The sequence below is a fragment of the Homo sapiens genome, chromosome 6 (genome assembly GCF_000001405.40).
Source record: "Homo sapiens chromosome 6, GRCh38.p14 Primary Assembly".
Lineage (NCBI taxonomy): Eukaryota > Metazoa > Chordata > Mammalia > Primates > Hominidae > Homo > Homo sapiens.
Window position 1 is genome coordinate 135432770 of NC_000006.12, and position 18564 is coordinate 135451333.

An 18564-nucleotide genomic window follows, 5' to 3' on the forward strand; every position below is an offset into this window, starting at 1 on the left:
AATATATTTATGCAATTTGGCACATGACTGGTTGTTATAGCAAAGATTAATTGAATCTAAATGTTTAAGAATTTAAAAACTTAAAAATTACAAACAGAAGTCCCTTAGTGTCATATCTATCATATGACCTGCAAAATAAGCATAAACCTAAATATGCGCAATCATCAGTACATAACCCTCTCAAGCCTAAATAACTATTATTCTGGTAAAAAAAAATTCTTCACATAGCTGGTCTTCATTCATAGTCTCTGACATACCTTCAGTATCAAAACAAAGTGAGTTGATAAAACTTTTGTGAACATCAAACTGTCGGACCAATATGGCAGAATCTTCTCTCATCTCAACTTTCCATATCCGTATCATGGAATCATAGCATCCTGTAACTACTAGCTCTCTTACAGCTGGATGGAATTTAGCCGTGTAAACAAAAGAAGGATGAGGTAAAACTCTGAAAGTATTTGTATTGTTTATTTCATTTTTCCATATCCTGGAAAAGGATAAGAAGTTACATATTGCTTCTGAAAAGCAGAAGTTTCTTTTAACAGTTTTTCTAAGAACCAACACAGCCAATGAACCTTAAGCAAGCAAGTGACAACGACCAATGGTAAACCAAGTTTTAAAACAATGAAAAATATAATGATGATCTCATATTTGATGACTGGAATTTTCACATGTGACAAAGTTATTTGTTATAGTTATTATCCAGCATATTATATCCACTAATTGTAATCTATACTATAAAATTAATAACTTTTTAAAACCTACCTATTTTGCTGTTGGTTAAACACACATTGAACAGTTGGTAAAATATTGCATTTAGTACAATATACATAAAAAATATATAGGGAGAAACTTTAATGATTTCCCATTTAGGTTGTGTATACCACTTTTACAAAGTGTTTATTAATGGGGGTTTAGAGAATAGAATAGTCTATTAACTTTTATATTTGTAATTTCAAAGCCTAGATAGTAAAAATGAAGATCTCAAAGATTTAAGAGATACTAAAATTATTATATTTTGAATTCTCAAGTAAAATAAGATTAAAATAATTATGACATTTTGATAGAAAAGACTATCCTACATTAAGCACGTTCTTTTTGTTTAACACTCATTATCCTGTCCTCTAAATAATGGCTAACTAAAAAAAATTAAGATTATTATCACTGCTACAGTCTTGACAAATGAGTAAACCCTTAAGGGTTAACCTCTTAGATACTCTGCATTTCTAACAATGTATAAAACTAGGTGAAATCTACCAATATACAGGTGCTATATAAGTGTGAAGCATTGGATTTTTAAATATATTTTGTTAAATTATCAAAATTAGAAGAACATATTAATTTTAAATATGGGATTTGTATTCATCCTTTTAATTACTGCTTGAAAACTAAAGCAAATTGAGTCTGTTACAAGATTACTGATAAGAGAAAAAAAAACAGTTTCTATTCAAGAAAAATATTCTATGAGTTTCCTCAGCAGCTGCTTACAATATAGGATATGATCTTCAATTACTAAGAATCCAAACTAATAATAGAGGAAGTGAAAGAACATGTTTTCGAGTAAAAATAAAGCCCATGAATGAATCAATTGCACAAGCATTTTTACCACAGTGTATTCTCAATAAGCATATTTATATGAAATATGATGCCTATTAAAAGAAAAAACCACTAATTTTGGGAAAATATTAAAAAGATAGATGAAAAACTCAGTTGTTTGGTAATAAATCTTAGTAGCATTATTTAAAATACTATATAACAGGCAGAAATGAAGCAAATACATCTTCAAAACAGCTCAATATAATTAAAACAGACATAATATTAAAAAAATAAAAGTAAAGCTTTTTGTGTAAAAACTGAACTGGAATCAATGATGGTTTCTGTTACCCAGGCCATGGTAGAATCTGAGATTAAAATAAATATATAAATGGGTTTGGGGAAAAAAAATCAGACCAGATCATAGAGAACAAAGAAATACAAATTTGTAAAGACTGAATGAACACACACAAAAATTACTAGATTTGGGAAAGAAAAAACATAAAGTTAAGCCATATGTTTGAGAAAAGGGAATAGTGGGCACATATAGGCCTGTGTGGGAGCCATTACATATGGAAAAGCCTCTCTGACTGTATTAGAAGTTGTTGATTTGAGAAAAACACAGATTATTCCAGGGATAACTAAAGAAGGGTATTTAGGATAAACCCATATGGCAGAAAGCTAATCAAGTGGGAAATACTTAGGAGACACTAACAATAATATGTGTCAGGGATCCTCAGGAATAAAGAAGGAGAAGACATGGACAGAAATTCATACTTCTGCCACTTGTGAGCATTTGCAATTCTAATTCTCTTTCTTTGGACAACAGCTCCTTTATTACAAGTATTCCTTACCTCTTTCAAAACTCTCCTTGTCATTTTGATGCTAGCCACATGCTTCTCTTTTCACTCAGTTAATGCTTTCACAATACTATTTTAATGATGTAAAGAGTCCTAAATTAGTATCAGTTTTAAAGATAAATAAGGAAAAAATGTGTGCTTTAGCATAATATACTACATATTGTGTGCAGAAACCCAAGATAGCTTCAAGAAATAATAGAATTTGGGCTGGATTTTAAATAATAACTACAAACCTATGAGAGCTCACAAAAGGCACTTAATTTTTGTTGAATGAATAAGTTATTCAGGAAGGGTAGGAGAAGGTCATTTAAGTATAGGAAAAGTAGGTAAGTTTCAAAGGGCAGGAAGATGCCAAAGAAGATAAGATGCTAGGGTGTTTCAAAAGATTACGTGGGTAAAGCAAAGGGTACAAGGGAAGCGCATGAGAAAAGAATGTTGGGTCAATGAGGAACATGCCTGTTAGGCCATGCTAAGGAACTGGAAAATTTTTCAATGGGCAATGGGTAAAGTCTTTTAAAAAATTAAGGCATTATGAAAGATAGTTATGGAAAGATAATTTTAGCACAGCAGAGACAGAGGACTTAGAGACTGAACACTGAGGTCAATAGCAACAATTTAAGCAAAGAGTAATAGGGCTTGAATTAAAGCAAACGCAATAGAGAGGACGTGACAAAACTGTGAGCCTTTTAGGAGGGAGAATTGGCAGACTTTAGTGCTAGTTAGATGTGAAAGAAATGATGGGAAAGAAAGAAGAGATGAACACCACTCTGAGTTTTCAGCTTGGGAGATGGTGGATAAGGATGCCATTAAAATATATGTAAGAGAATTAAAAGAGGAAAACAAAATTTAAGGAGGTGGGTAAGTTTGGTTTTGGATTTGAGGTGGCAATGGGCCATTCAAATGGAAACGTGTAATAGGAAGTCAAATTCATAAAAAAGGTGTGCGCTAGAAGTCATTAGCATATCAGCAAGAGTCAAAGCTGGGAAAGGTAAGAGAAACTAGGATAAGCATATAAAACCAGGAGATGATCAGCTAAAGGATCCTGGGGATAAAACATATAGACGATCGGCAGAGGAAAATAAATCAGAGAAAGACAATGGATAGAACTGGTCAGAGTAATAAAAAGAGAAGAGAAGAGGTTGTCAATGAAAACTATGAATTCAAAATATTTCAAGACTGGTCAATAATCAATTACTACAGTGAAGGCAAGCAGAGCAGGAGTTAAACTGTCCAAATGGATTTAAAAATAGCAAGAAACTGCCAACCTCTGAAGAAAGAAGTTTATGTAGCATGGTGGGAAAGAAAGCCAGAATAACTGGGCTGAAGTAAAGACAGTATGTGTAGAATACTCCTGATGGTGTAGAAAAAGAAAAATAATGGGCTAGTCTAGAAGGCAGGAAGAACTGAAAATGATGTTTTTAAGATAAGGCAATTTGAGCATATTTCTTTTTTCTTTTTGAGGCAGAGTCTCAATCTGTCACCCAGGCTGGAGTGCAATGGCGCAATCTCGGCTCACTGCAACCTCCACCTCCCAGTTCAAGTGATTCTCTTGCCTCAGCCTCTGAAGTAGCTGGGACTACAGATGCAGACCACCACACCCGGCTTATTTTTGTATTTTTAATAGAGACAGGGTTTCGCCATGTTGGCCAGGCTGATCTCGAACTCCTGACCTCCAGTGATCTGCCCACCTCGGCTTCCCAAAGTGCTGGGATTACAGGCATAAGCCACTGCGCCCGGCCCATTTGAGCATATTTCTAAGATGAGAGGACACAATCAATAGAGAGAAAGATATTAATCAGACTAGTAGATGTAATACAAATTTTCAGGGACTGAGATGAAAAGTACAGGTCAAATAGCCTTTAAAACGTCAGTCACGTGCCTCTTTGTTAAAAGAGATGGACAGAGATTAAAAATGGACATATCTATGGATATTAGGAGGGAAATCAGAGGGAAATATACGAAGATCATGTCTGACTAAATTTCATCTAAATTGAAGATAGTCATCTAATGAAGTGGGAAGACTGTGATTTACTGTAGAGAATGTTCATGGTAAGTTTGGATCTGCTGCCAGAGGAAAAAGAAAAGGAAGCTGAGTAAAGTAAAAGGATTCCTCAGCAGAGATGACAGCTTAGGTGACATTAAGACTTACAAATCCAAAGTCACCCCTCAGCAAAGTTACATATTTTTCTCTAGTATGGCCTGGCATTGGACAGAATGGCTGTGCTAAAAGAACAGATCAGATAGTTTCTTGAGGATATTGTCAAAAAGGAGTAATAGTAGGTTCCCAGCATGACCAAGAAGGAAGTCAATTGTTACTAATTCTCATCTTTTTCATTTAAATAAAAACTAACCAATAATGGTAACATCTTGATTAGATATTTTATACAGAAAAGGAGGTTGGCAAGATCAGTAGAAGAAGTGGTCTGAACACTAAAAGTAACACGAAGTGTTAAGAGAGTAGAAGGCAGAAGTAAATGACAATGAATTCAGCATGGATCTCAACTGTTTACATGTCAGTTTCGTAGTGTGTGGAGAGAATAATGTCTTACCTAATAGCTGTAAGAATCAAATTAAGTGATGTATCTAAAAGCACCCTGAAAACTAACAGTATTTTTAGAACACATTCAAGGTAGAACAAGCAACTAAAAAAAGTATAAATGAAACTTTTAAAGTTAGCTTTTAAAATGTTTTATTGTGATACTTATTAAATTGAAAAGGGATAAATTATTTTTAAGATTGACATTCTGAAAAATGTAAATGTTTAACCAATCTATAAAACTGTTAAAATATAAGGTACATATTTGTTTCCTCTACTGTGATATACTGAGCACCACTGGATTCTACCCTCTGCAAATCCAGCCAATAGTGAAGACAGTATCCCTGCCACCAAGAGCTTATGCTCTAGGAAAAAATCTCAAGTGTTTAATAACCCCTAACCCCATCTCAAAGCATTAATCAGTTTACATAATGATCATTTAAAGATGGTGAGGACTAGAAATATTATATGCTACATAAATAAAAGACATTTAAGAAAAATGTCTTTAAAAAGTGTTACTATAATTTATGGAATCAGTCTGCATGATGCATATTTATGACAGTCCCTTCTTGGGAAAATACGACTGGAGCATAAGAGTAGTTACATCAGTTTATATTCTCTTTGCTTTCCTTGACAGCAAACAGCATGCACATAAGTACTTCTCAAGGATACTAACCTGGCAGTGCCATCAGATGATGAAGTAAGGATGTAGTGATCATCTTTTGACCAGGAAAGATCATAAATGATATTGAGGTGGCCACACAATTCTCTCATGAAACGTCCAGAAGGAATTTCATATACTAATGAAAATATTTAGAAATTAGGTTTCCAGACAGAAGATCCTTAATCCAATAATATACAAATATATAATTTAATATTATTTAGACATAAGCAGTCTATAACAAAATTATAACCAAAGACATTTGCAGCACAGAGAAAATTTCAAAATTTACTTAAGAATAGTTTTTCTTTTGCTTTACACAAAAATTCACATGCAAAATTTTCAGTTATAATTTTGCTACAATTATCAATTATTTTCATCTCTTTAAAGAAATCCCCTAAGAATCTTTAATAATAAATTTATATCAGTTGAATAATAACATTTACATTGCAATTCACTTATATTCTATAATTTAGGCTTTCATTATTATTTCACCTGAAAATCAACTAAATGCCAACCAAAAATTTAATTATTTGAAGTAAGGAGAAATTTAAATTGTGCTATTGTCAAAAGTAAATTTTAATACTAAAATGAACAGGGATAGTAATCAGGGATAGTATGGGAATTAACAATGACTCAATCAGACACACAAAGCACTGTGGTATTTTACTATATGTTTAAACATACAATGAAATCTAAGATAGTAACACGGAAAAACAAAGTTTCCAAGTCTCTGCTTCCATCTAGTGGTAAAAATCAATTGCCCTTTAAAATACTTAGCAGTTCAGAAATAACAGCAGTCCCCCCTTATGTGCAGTTTCACCTTCTGTGGTTTCAGTTACCCGCAGTCAACCATGGTCTGAAAATATCAAATGGAAAATTCCAGAAATAAATAATTCCTAAGTTTTAAAATGCACATCATTCTGAGTAGTGTTATGAAATCTCATGCCATTTAGCTCCATGTCTCCAGCATGTGAATTATCCTGTGTTCAATGTATCCATGCTATAGATGCTGTCTATCAGAAACTTAGTAGCTGTCTCAGTTATCAGACTGGTTGTCACCCAGTGCTTTTGTTCAAGTAACCCTTATTTTACTTAACGGTCACAAGGTGCAAGAGTAATCATGTTGGCAATTGGCATATGCCAAAGGGAAATGATAAAGTACTTCCTTTGACTGAAAAGGTGAAAGTTCTTGATTTAAAAAGGAAAGAAAAAAAAATCATATGTTGAGGTTGCTAGGATCTACAGTAAAAATCTTCTATCCGTGAAATTGTGAAGAACGAAAAAGAGGTTTGTGCTAGTTTTGCTGTCACACCTCAAACGACAAAAGTAATGGCCTTTAGTGCATGGTAAGTGTTTTGTTAAGATGGAAAAGATATAAATCTGTGGGTGGAAAGCATGAGCATACATGTGTTTCTACTGATGGCAATCGGGTTCAGTACTACTTGAGGTTTCAGGCTTCCACTGAGGGTCTTAGAACATATACCCTATGGAAAAAGAGGGACTACTGTACTTGTGGAATAGCAAAGTAAGAATCTTAGAAAAAATCTCCTCCCCACAGAAGCAACAAGAACACTGGCAAAAACTGGCAAAAATCAACATTCTCAGAACTCTGAAAATTAAGCAAAGCTTACAAAAATTTGAAGAGTATTTAAGAAAAATGGCTGAATTTGGTAAGAACATTGAGCTTTACGGTGTTTTAACTTGCTATGTTCTCATTCCTGTCTCAAACTTTAAAGGAGCCTTAAAAACCAATAAAAATCAAGAGACTGGTTGGGGCAGAACAGGTCTGATGCTCCCTAAAAGCCCCATCCCCAAAGACTTCTCACTATTTGACAGTCTGGCCCTCCAGGAAAGATCCACTGTCAGGGCCTGCCTTTATTTGACCTGGCTCACAGCATGCTCTGGGAGGACAGCCCTAACCCTAAGGTGCATGTCAAAACAACCCGTGGCATCATTTAATATCACAGCTGCAAGTGAGGCTAAGAAGAGGCTCACCAAAGAACTTAAAATAAAAACAAAAAACAAAATGAAACAAAACAAAACAAAAAACCGGGCATGAGATGTCCATAGGGGACACTGATAAACTCCAAAATATTCCTGGGTATCTAGAAGGATTCCCATCCATGTATGTGAAGGGAATATGCACAACCAAGAAAGACCTGACAGGCTTTACTTCTCACTCGGGCTGACGTGAGGAGGCTCAGGACAAACAGAAAGTAAAGCTAAGGCAGAGCTGTAGATTGTGTACCGAAGCATTGAAGGTATACCCCAACACACACAGAGTCTCTTGGCAAAGACCAGTAGACCTATCCACTCAAGTATTTAAAAATCTCTGTCTAACCACAACGGTGGTCTCTGTCTGACCACGAACTTAACCGAGCACAGACATCAATGGCAACACATGACAGACAGTAAAGACTACAGAATTAGTCCAAAATCACAAAGCTAACTGCAAAAATAATAAATCTTGGGTGGGCGTGAGGGGAGAAAGGAGGGCATCTGATTTCCAGAGTTGCCACACTGCATTATTAAAACATCCAGTTTTCAATACAAAATTATGAGAAATGGAAAAAACAGGAAAGAGTGGCCCATACACAGGGGAAAAAAGTCATCCACATAGAAACTGAGGAAGCCCAGACGCTGGGCTTTCTCAACAAAGACTTTCAATCCACTATTATAAATATATTCCAAGATCTAAAGAAAACTATATCTAAAGAATTAAAGTGTGAAAAGGATTTCCCACCAAAAAAGAGAGTATCAATAAAGAAATAGATATGATTAAAAAAAAAGTCCAACTAGAAATTTTACAGTTGAAAAGTACAATAACTGAAATAAATAATTCACTAGAGGGGCTCAAAAGCAGATCTAAACTGAAAGAATTACTAAATTTGACAACAGGTCAACTGAGATTATCCAGTCTGAAAAAAGCAGAAAAAGAATGAAGAAAAATAGAAAAGTTTCAGAGACTTGTGGGACACCACCAAGAGTACCAACACAGGCATAACGGGACTCCCAGAAGAAGAAAGAGAAAAGGGCCAAACAGAACATTTCAAGAAATAATGACTGAATACATCTCTAATTTGTGAAAAACACTGATCTGCATATTCAACAAGTTAAAGGAATTCCAAGTAGACACATCATAATCAAATAGTCAAAAACCAAAGACAAAGATTCCTCTTCCTCCTCTATTTTTGAGATTTAAGCAATATCTCAATCTACATAGCATTTTAAAGCAAGTTTATTTAAGCATAAAGTAACATATTTATCACAGAAGCTTTTAAAACATAAAATCGGAATAAAATAATTCTTTCACTATCCAAAAGAAATAAATTACTATTAATAACTTAGGAGCATTTCCTAAGAACCTTTTTTCCCTCTACATATGGGTTTTTGGTGAATTTTAAAAATAGCATAGTGGTAATCAAACGACACAAGTGATTTTTTATTTTTAAAATTTATTACTATTTCATGGGGAGCAATATCTACTTAATAAATGCCAATCAAGTCAATTATGAGTCCCTGATTAAAAAAAAGGGAATCAACCAATTAATAGCAAACTGTGTTAAGCTGAGGAAAGTTCAATAAGATCTAGTGTTTAGGGCAGATGCCCACAAGGAGCTGGCTACTTCTGCAGAGGAGAGCTGGTTTTATTATTGAGTCAGAAGTAAAGGAGAGAGTATTTAATGCTTCTAAGTCTAGAACAGTATGATAATGCTCACTTTAGAATGTCTCTAAAGCAACAGAAATAATTGCTTGGCCTCTCTGCTGACTTCTCTATCATAATGAGAAGTTTTCATCTAGGTACTCTTGAGTCAATTATTGGTATTCCACTACACAGCAAATCTGGAGGCTTTTGTAACTCAAATCATCACTGCTATCAACTAGCCACATTGGACTAATGTTCCCCATGAGATTTATTCATCCTTGTTTCCAAATTTCTATATTTAAAATACAAAATGTTTACAAAAATCCTCCTGCATGTTTTAAAAATAAATTTACCATCTTTCATTTGATCAATCTCATTCTACTTACGAACAGTTACTGTATAGAAAAGTGTAAAATTATTACAAAAGAACTTTCTTTGTTTGAAGAAATCCGTTTTCTTTAATTTAGTAGTACAGGGGATTACTCAAGTTAAGATTTCCATGAATTTAAAAAAACTAAAGAATGTCCTCCACGTGGACTACAATCAGATTAAACAGGTAGGATTATTACTCACAAATAATTGGATATCCATCCCGGCTGGCACAAGCTGCTGCTAATATTCTTCCATTGTGGGAGAAATCAAGACAAAAACATCCTCGTTCTCCTGCATTTAGTGAGAAGAGGTGTTTGTTTGGGATACGGCAAGCCTAAAAAACATACGTTTAAAAAATATAAATTAGCAAACATTAAAACGCGAAGGCTAGTTTTTAATTTCAATTACTGTAGTTCTTTTAAGTCCTTTTATGATGCAGAGAAAGAGAAAAACAAGTACGCAGAATGGTGAAAAACCATAGTAAATTGCTTTGTAAAAAGAGAATCAGTGTCCATGAAATTTTTAAAGTGGGTTTGTTCTTCATGTTTAAGTAGTACTTAATTCACCTAAATATGAATAGAAAAATTTCAATATCTGATACTCTAAAGCCATCACTGCCACACTGCTTCTATATAGCTACTAAAAGAATGTATGTCACAGCCTTATTCTATGACAGCACTAGTAAGTCACTTTTGTTAAAGTCACAAGCTTTTTTTAAGACCACAAGTACCTATGGGGCCTAGCTTAAGCCAGAATGTATGAATGCTTATTCTCTCTTTGCCTATCTTAAAATAATCACCTTTTGTGGCTGCCTTCCAAAATGTATTTTCAAAGTAATCAATCGGCCCTTATTGGTCTCTCATTCATTATTACAATTTCTTCAAAATTTTAATGTTTTCACCCTCTTCTACCAGATGAAGCCCAAATTTTCTGGGTATTAATGTCTACTGTAGAAAATACCAGTTACGTTTATTTATCCTAATTCTATCTCTTGCAACCTTCAGTGAGCCTTAGTTCTTCTGTTTCTTATAATTCAAAAAGTTGAAGTAAACATATACTGGGCTCTTACTATATGTCATGAAAGTTGTACTTTATTACAAAGGTCTTTGAATATATTCATCACAGCCACCCTATGAGTAGCTATTACTAGCTAAGAGTAACCATTATTAGCTCTATATGGCTAAGAGGGATTATTCAAAGGGTCAAGCCTAGCTTAATGGACCTACTCAAAGACTGTTACTTCAAGGGCATGCTTTCTAGACAGGTACCAGGTTTTTCACAAATAGTACCAAGATCTAGCAGTTCCTCTGGAGACAGCATTATGACCAGCTACTAGGAATGTGAAAAATTCAAAAGAATTTGTTAAGTGTCAATCATGTACCAGACTCCATGCTCCCCATCCTTTCTCTGCATTCTCCAGACTCCATGCTACCCATCTTTTCTCTGCATCCTCCAACCACATAATTAAGAAAAGGGAGAGGAGGGTAACAAGGTAACAAAAACTGAAAGAAATGTCAGGAGGCTTTATAACCACTTGCTGCTGCTCCTAGAGTAGGAAGTGTAATTAAGGAAAACTCTGTGCCCAATCACCTAGGCTGAAAATGAAAACATTGAACCCACTATCATGTTCTTTGTATTCTCAGGGTTTGACTCTGTGCCCTATCCACAACAGACACTCAATGAAAGTCTGATAACAACAATAAAGGTCCTCAAAAGCCTTGACTGTTTCTCCTCCTTTACTACCTTGTCAGTCACTAAATCATGCTGGTTCCTACTTTCTGTCTCTCGTATTCATTAGACCCTCATCACCTCACACATCAATGACTGCCATCTAATTCTGATGTTACTACTTCAAGATCTCCCCATGCCACTGCCTGCATTAATTCATCCTCAAATACAATTGTTATTTTTCTCACTCACCCGAAAACCTTCCATTATTCCTCACATCCCTCACAATCAAGTATTAGGCTACCATTTGAGACACTCCACAATGTGGGCCTCATCCAGTACACTACTTTATCTCCTCTTTTACAAACTCTGGTTTCCAACCAGCTAAGCTTTTGAGTGCCTAATGAATACAACAGGTCCTTTCCCACTTATTTGCAACTTTGCCTTCATATGAAATACCCGCCCTTGTCCCTCCTTCACTCACCCCTACCTTGAGCATCCTAGTCTATCTCAAGCTCCACTGTTGAATGAGCCCTTCTTCCACCATTGTAGTTCAGTCTTCATATCTGCAATTCTCAAATGTTTTTAGTTTCGAGATGCTTTACATTCTTGGAACATTTTTTTGGAGGCTATTTGGAGTTTTCATAAAAATAAAATAAAAGTAACTTGCTAACTTTAAATGTCTAGCTGAATAAAATCTAGATTTTCGTAAGTGCCTCTGCTCTCTTGTGATATCACGTTATTTAGCCTCTAGAAAATGCTAGTACATACTTGTAAGAGAATGAATCTGAATGAGACTAGTAACACCTTAGAATCATTATGAAAAGAAGTTGACTTCAAGAACCCCCTGAAAGGGACTCAGAACTCCCAGAGGTCTCCAAACTACATTTTGAGAACTGCTGATCTGTACAATCATCTTTATACCTACATTTCCTCATTTCATCAAGACTTCTCTGAAGCATATCTGAAAATAAACAACAATGTAACTGCTTTCTTTTCCCACCTAACTTGGAAGTTCCCCAAGGGCATAATCTAAGTGTTATTCTCTCCATATCATGCTTAAAGTATTCTAACTCAAAGTGATTTTAAAATGTATCTGTAAAATCAGCCTCAAAAAGAAAGTCAAATGTGATATAAAATATAGAAAATGAAGATGAATAAGTAAGAATAGTAAGCTCTTATTTCTACATTAGATGTTTGAATAAATTAAGATTTTGGATAAATTTCATCTGGTAGCAGCTCATATGCATAAAATAAACCACTTCATTCTTTATAAAAACAAGTAAAACATTGCAAAATTGTATCAGCAATGCTTCTTGCCACTGCATAAAATGCTAATCTAGTAAGAACACTTTAGTAAAAGCTTAAATTCTGCTCAGCTTGTGGCAGAAGTATATACATGTACATATCTCTATCAAAGTGTGATTCAGGAAGAAGCCAGGTGCTGTGAAGAATTTCATGAATCCATAAACATTAAGAGATATACATCTTACAGACATCAAAAAATTTTTTTTTAAATTTTTAATTCTTTTTCTTTTTAAAGAGATGGGATCTCATTCTGTCATCCAGGCTTGAGTGCAGTGGCAGAATCATAGCTCACTGCAGCCTTGAATTCCTGGGTTCAATCAATCTTCCTTCCTCAGCCTCCCAAGTAGCTGGGACTACAGGTGCATGCCACCATGCCCACCTAATTAAAAAAATTTTTTTTAAAAGAATGGGTCTTGCTGGCCGGGCACGGTGGCTCACGCCTGTAATCCCAGTACTTTGGGAGGCTGAGGCAGGCGGATCACGAGGTCAGGAGATCGAGACCATCCTGGCAAACATGGTGAAACCCCATCTCTACTAAAAATACAAAAAATTAGCCAGGCGTGGTGGCAGACGCCTGTAGTCCCAGCTACTCCGGAGGCTGAGGCAGAAGAATGGCATGAACCCGGGAGGTGGAGCTTGCAGTGAGCCGAGATTGCACCACTGCACTCCAGCCTGGGCGACAGAGCAAGTCTCCGTCTCAAAAAAAAAACAAAAAGAGAATGGGTCTTGCTACATTGCCCAGGCTAAAAATCTATGTTATCTGACTGCTGTTATAGGCTGAATTGTGTCCTCTCTCCTCCCACTCACACCCCCACCCCTTGTCACCCAAATGAATATGCTAAAGCTCTAACCCCTAACACCTCAGAATGTAACAGTATTTGGAGACATGGTCTTTAAAAAGGTAATTACATTAAAATGAAATAATTATGGAAGGGTCCTAATCCAATAGGGGGAGAGACAACAGGGGCGTGCATGCACAAAGATCATGTGAAGAGGCAGCAAGAGGGCAGCCAACTGTAAGCCAAGGAGAAGCCTCAGAAGAAATCAACCCAGTCATCACCTTGATCTTTGCTATGCACTGAATGCTATGTCCTCTCAAAAACTGTATGTTAAAGCTGTAATCCCCTATGTGATAGTATTTAGATGTGGGGGTCTTTGGGAGGTAATTTGGTCCTGAGAGTGAGAAGCTCATGAATCAGATTCGTGCCCTTATAAGAAAAGACGCGAGAAAGGTGATCTCTCTCTCCACCATGTGAGAATATAGTGAAGAGGAGGCGGGCTCCAAGTCAAAAAGTGGACCCTCACCAGGAACTAGGCTGGCTAGCATCTTGATCTTGGACTTCTCGGCCTCCAGAACTGTGAGAAATAAATGTCTGCTGTTTAAGCCACCCAGTCAGTGGTATTTTGTTATAGCAGCCCAAGCTAATACAATTGCCCAAGTGCCCAAAGAATGTAAGATAGTGCTTATATACACATGCTAGGCACTCTATTATTATTTGTCAAATTAATTAATGGAAAGGCAAAATTGTGGTTAAAAACAAGGATAAATAGCAAGCATTTTAAGTAGTAAGCTAGATATCCTAGGAGTTATTGGAGTTTTTAAGGTAATAAGTAAACATCTAAATAAATCCACTATTATCAAACACTTCACCTGCCCAGGGAGTCGTTTCCACTTTATTACTTCCTTTGACTCTTCTAATCCAGGTTCTGTGTCTACTGAGCTTGACTCATGGTGACGTTCACAATGCACTGGTTTACCTTTTTCCTCCTGAAGAGCCATCATAGAGCGGTAAGATGGCTTTATCTAAATATGCATTAAAATATGAAAATTTATATACCATGTTCACCTTTTTCTTTTTCTAGCATATAGTTTTTAAAATACTGAAACAAATAATATGAAAATATTTTCAAAATGTAATCCAGAAAAAAATTCTACTTTTATTTGTACATTATTCTAAATAAAATAAAAAAGCTGCTTAAAACTACAGTCCTGTAACCAAAAAGCCATAAAAATTTTGGAGGAAAAAATATGACCACAAAGGTCACATGAAATGATTTTAATAACTCTATCCTTTGTTTCTGCTTCTTCACCAATACTTATGAGTTATGCCATGGCTCTGATATACTATCATATCTCTGGCTTTAATATCACAAAACTAGTATCATAAAAATCTCAAGTTTTAAAAATCCTCATTTCTCAAATAATAGATTTAACTCCATCCAAACCAATGCAAATCAGCCCTGTGGTGACAGTACATATCAGCTACAGAACGTGCAAATGACCTGAAAAATTAATGTCTTACAAGAAACTAGACAAAAGCAAAACTTTTTTATTTTAGGGCCAATTCTTTGCTAAGATTATTTATAATATTAATCTATGGAAAACAGCAGCAGTAGAAACATTACATACTGATTATTTGAATAATATTGTGAAAAATGTGCCCAGAAATCAGGAGTCTGCAAACTGCAGCCCACACACCAAATCTGGCCTACTACCTGTTTTTGTAAATAAACTTTTATTGGAACACATCACACCCATTTGTTCAGTTATGGCCTACATATGTCTATGTAGCTATTTTCACACTATAAAGGCAAAATTGACTGAAACTACAGGGCCAAAGCCTAAAATATTTACTATCTGGCCCTTTACAGAAACTATTTTTCAACTCCTGCTTTAAATCAACCTTTTATCTTTAATTTTTGAAAATCAAATTATAACAAAACATTTTTCCTAATACTAAAAGCCACATTTCACATTTAAAATTCATTTAAGCATCTTTTAAATATCAGCTATTACAGGCTTAATATATAACCCCAGAAATCTATTAAAATTATTATTAGAGGCCTTATCTTTTTAGAAATGAAAAACATGCTATGTCACCATTTAATTTCAACACTAGATGATATACACTTAATATGTACTATTAACTTACACAGTCTGGAACTTTCAGTCCTCTTACAGTTACGTACAGTGTTGATGGGTAATGATTTCTTGGACATTTTGACCACCATTCAAATGCCTCAACAACACTTAATGGGGATCGAGGCTTAGTAGGTGGGTAATATAGCTGCAAGCGAAGTTTTGAGTTGATGTTTGCATTTCCATTGGCTCCCAGAAGCTTAAAATAAGAATTCATATAAAATGTTACCTTCATTGAAAATAAATATATCCAATAAAGCAATAGCATAAAGTCAGAAACATTTTTAAAAGATTAATATGGCATGCTGAAATTTCTTAGTTTTAAAAAGCAAAGAACATTAAATAGTTAGTTAAGCACACTTCCAGATCATTTTTGACAAAAGGTAGCCCAAATGGCTTTTAAAATATTTTCCTGATAGCTCTCTTTTCACGTGTACAACAATTTCAGACTGTCGGTACAGCATTTACATTACTGTGCCAGATTTCACGCTGAACAAAGGAAGTGATCAATACACATGTTTGAAATAATTATGATAAAGACTAAACTGTATATTTACACAAGACACAAATCTTCCATTTGTTTAATATCAGTATTTTTAATGGTTAAAATTTTATGTTTTAAATTTTTAAAAAGTTAAAATCATTTCAAGATAATTAAACTCATTCAAGCCATTCGTTACATTTTTTTCAGTATTTTAGTATATCTTCTTTCAAAGGTCTATTTTTAAAACCCTATTAAACAAAACTTATATTTAAGCTAACTAAATGGAGGTTTTTGTCTCTTTTTTTGGGCAGAATCTCGCTCTGTTATCCAGGCCGGAGTGCAGTGGCAAAATCTTGGCTCACTGCAATTTCCACCTCCTCTGGGTTCAAGTGATTCTTGTGCCTCAGCCTCCCGAGTAGCTAGGATTACAGGTGCATGCCACCACACCTGGTTGATTTTTGTGTTTTTAGTATAGTCAGAGGTTTTGCCATGTTGGTCAGGCTGGTCTTGAACTCCTGGCCTCAGGTGATCTGCCCACCTCGGCCTCCCAAAGTGTTGGGATTACAGTTGTGAGCCACCACGCCTGGCCCTAAATGGAGATTTTTATGAGAAACATAAAAATCTTACCAACTCAGAATACGTTCTCTTTCATTAGACCATGACTCAAAATAGGAAATGAAACGTCTTTCTAACCTTTATGTCTTCTGCAAATTAGGAGCAGAAAGATAGTTTGAACCCTTTGCAACAGTTCACACAAAACATGAAGTATCTTAAATTAGAAGAATAAGCACTGAGTGCCCGGAAGGTATTTAACAACTGTTACTTGTAGACTCATGTAACTTAATATCTTAAATTAGAAGAATAGGCACTGAGTGCAGGGAACACATTTAACAACTGTTACTTGTAGACTTATGTAACTTGGAAAGTAAAAAAAAACAAAGAGGCAAGAAAGGCTCTAAGATAGTATTGTCCAAGAGAGCTTTCTATAATGATGGGAATACTCTAACCAATTTGTGCTAACCAATACGGAATCCACATGTGGCTACCCTGCACTTGAAGTATGGCTAGCACAAATGTGAAAGTAAATTTTTAATTATATTTAATTTGAATTCAAACAGCCATGTGACTTGTAGCTACCAAAACAGTGTAACTCTAAGTTCGTAAATCTGGGAGAGTGGACAGATGGTGGTACCACCAATTGAAGTGGCAGAGAGAGTAGCACGGATACTCAGTTTGGAGGAATCTGACATATCTATAAGTCATCCAAGCTGAAATGTCCAGCAGGTGACTGAATTTACAAATCTGAAGCACAGGTGAGAAAAGTGGTTCCAAGAAAAGTGGGTTAAAGATGAAACCATGAGTAAGACTGATATTAAGGAGGTAGGTAGAAGACCATGAAGGAAACTCAAAGAATGGTATAAGAAAAATTAGGAGAGGATGGTGTCAAGAAAACCAAGGTAACAGAGTTTCAAGAGTGTGATATGTTAAATGCATAGATGTGACAAAATAACTAAAAAATGTTCAATATATTTAGCAAACAGAAATCACTAGTGATTTGGTTGGAGAAGCTTTAGTGGCAGAGGCAAAATTCAGAACGTTGTTCAGGAATGATAAGTTAAGGAATGATGCATCAACAAGGAAAAAGAGATGGCAAAATATAGCCCATCTTTTCCCCTACCCCTTTAGGAAAGAATGTAAAGACAATGGAGGTTATAAGCTGAGCGGGTGACATTGTGATTAGTGTCAAATGACACACAGGGGTAAAGAACCATTCCCAATTGAGTAATAGATATGTTCAGTCATTAAATCATAAGCACTCGAGACTCCCTTGATAAACTCTCCTACAGCTCCCCAAAGCTTATCACGGTAATTTTAAAAAGATATTCCCCAGCTTCTAAATCATACTTTCCATAGATTAATTTAAACAGGCAATTTAGTTTACATTAATACGTTGCTTAGCCTGAGTAAACAACTAAGATTCAGCCAAGACCCTGCCATTATGGTTATAAATTATATAATGTAGAGCTCAGATAAATAAGGCTTTATTACTTTTTAGTTTAAAAGAATAGCCACATATATGTACTAAAAGAACTGAAAGTACCTGAGAATCTGAGGCATAGCTGAGAATTAGGATAAAGTCTCATTTGAATTACTGTAATAACTTAACAATTATCCAAGACATCCCTCGTACCAACAGGATAGGTAATAAAAGATTTAAATTTTAATTGTCTTCATGCCACTTCCCTTTTTTTTTGAGATGGAGTCTCACTCTGTCACCCAGGCTGGAGTGCAGTGGTACAATCACAGGTCACTACAACTTCCATTCCCTGTGTCCAAGCAATCCTCCCCGCTCAGCCTCCCGAGTAGCTGGGATTACAGGTGCACACCACCACATCTGGCAAATTTTTGTATTTTTAGTAGAGACAGGGTTTCACCATATTGGCCAGGTTGGTCTCAAACTCCTGACCTCAAGTGATCGGCCCACCTCACCTCCCAGCGTGCTGGGATTACAGGAGTCAGCTACTGCATCCGTCATGCCACTTTCTTGAAGATGAATTTTATCCTTGCCACTC

The 18564-nt window shown here is 35.5% G+C and overlaps 1 protein-coding gene across 23 annotated transcripts in view, besides 1 other annotated feature; it reads right to left on the reverse strand.

The window, feature by feature from the left end:
- AHI1 (Abelson helper integration site 1) overlaps positions 1–18564 on the reverse strand; it is a 214209-nt gene that overhangs the window by 149238 nt on the left and 46407 nt on the right. For all 23 annotated transcript variants that reach the window (XR_001743480.3, XR_007059277.1, XR_007059276.1 and 20 more), the window contains 5 exons: positions 15521–15706; positions 14239–14391; positions 9813–9945; positions 5606–5729; positions 258–487 (listed from right to left, as the gene is read on the reverse strand). Coding sequence is in view for 19 of the 23 variants with exons in the window: in XM_047418943.1 (XP_047274899.1) it covers positions 258–487; positions 5606–5729; positions 9813–9945; positions 14239–14391; positions 15521–15706 (826 nt within the window). In the remaining 4 variants the exon portion in view is untranslated. The remainder of the gene's footprint in view (positions 1–257; positions 488–5605; positions 5730–9812; positions 9946–14238; positions 14392–15520; positions 15707–18564) is intronic.
- Positions 3658–3858: a silencer, noted in NCBI's record as "peak6138 fragment used in MPRA reporter construct". NCBI's record gives its function as "represses an SCP1 promoter by STARR-seq MPRAs in K562 erythroleukemia cells {active_cell/tissue: K562}" and the evidence as "EXISTENCE:reporter gene assay evidence [ECO:0000049][PMID:32103011]".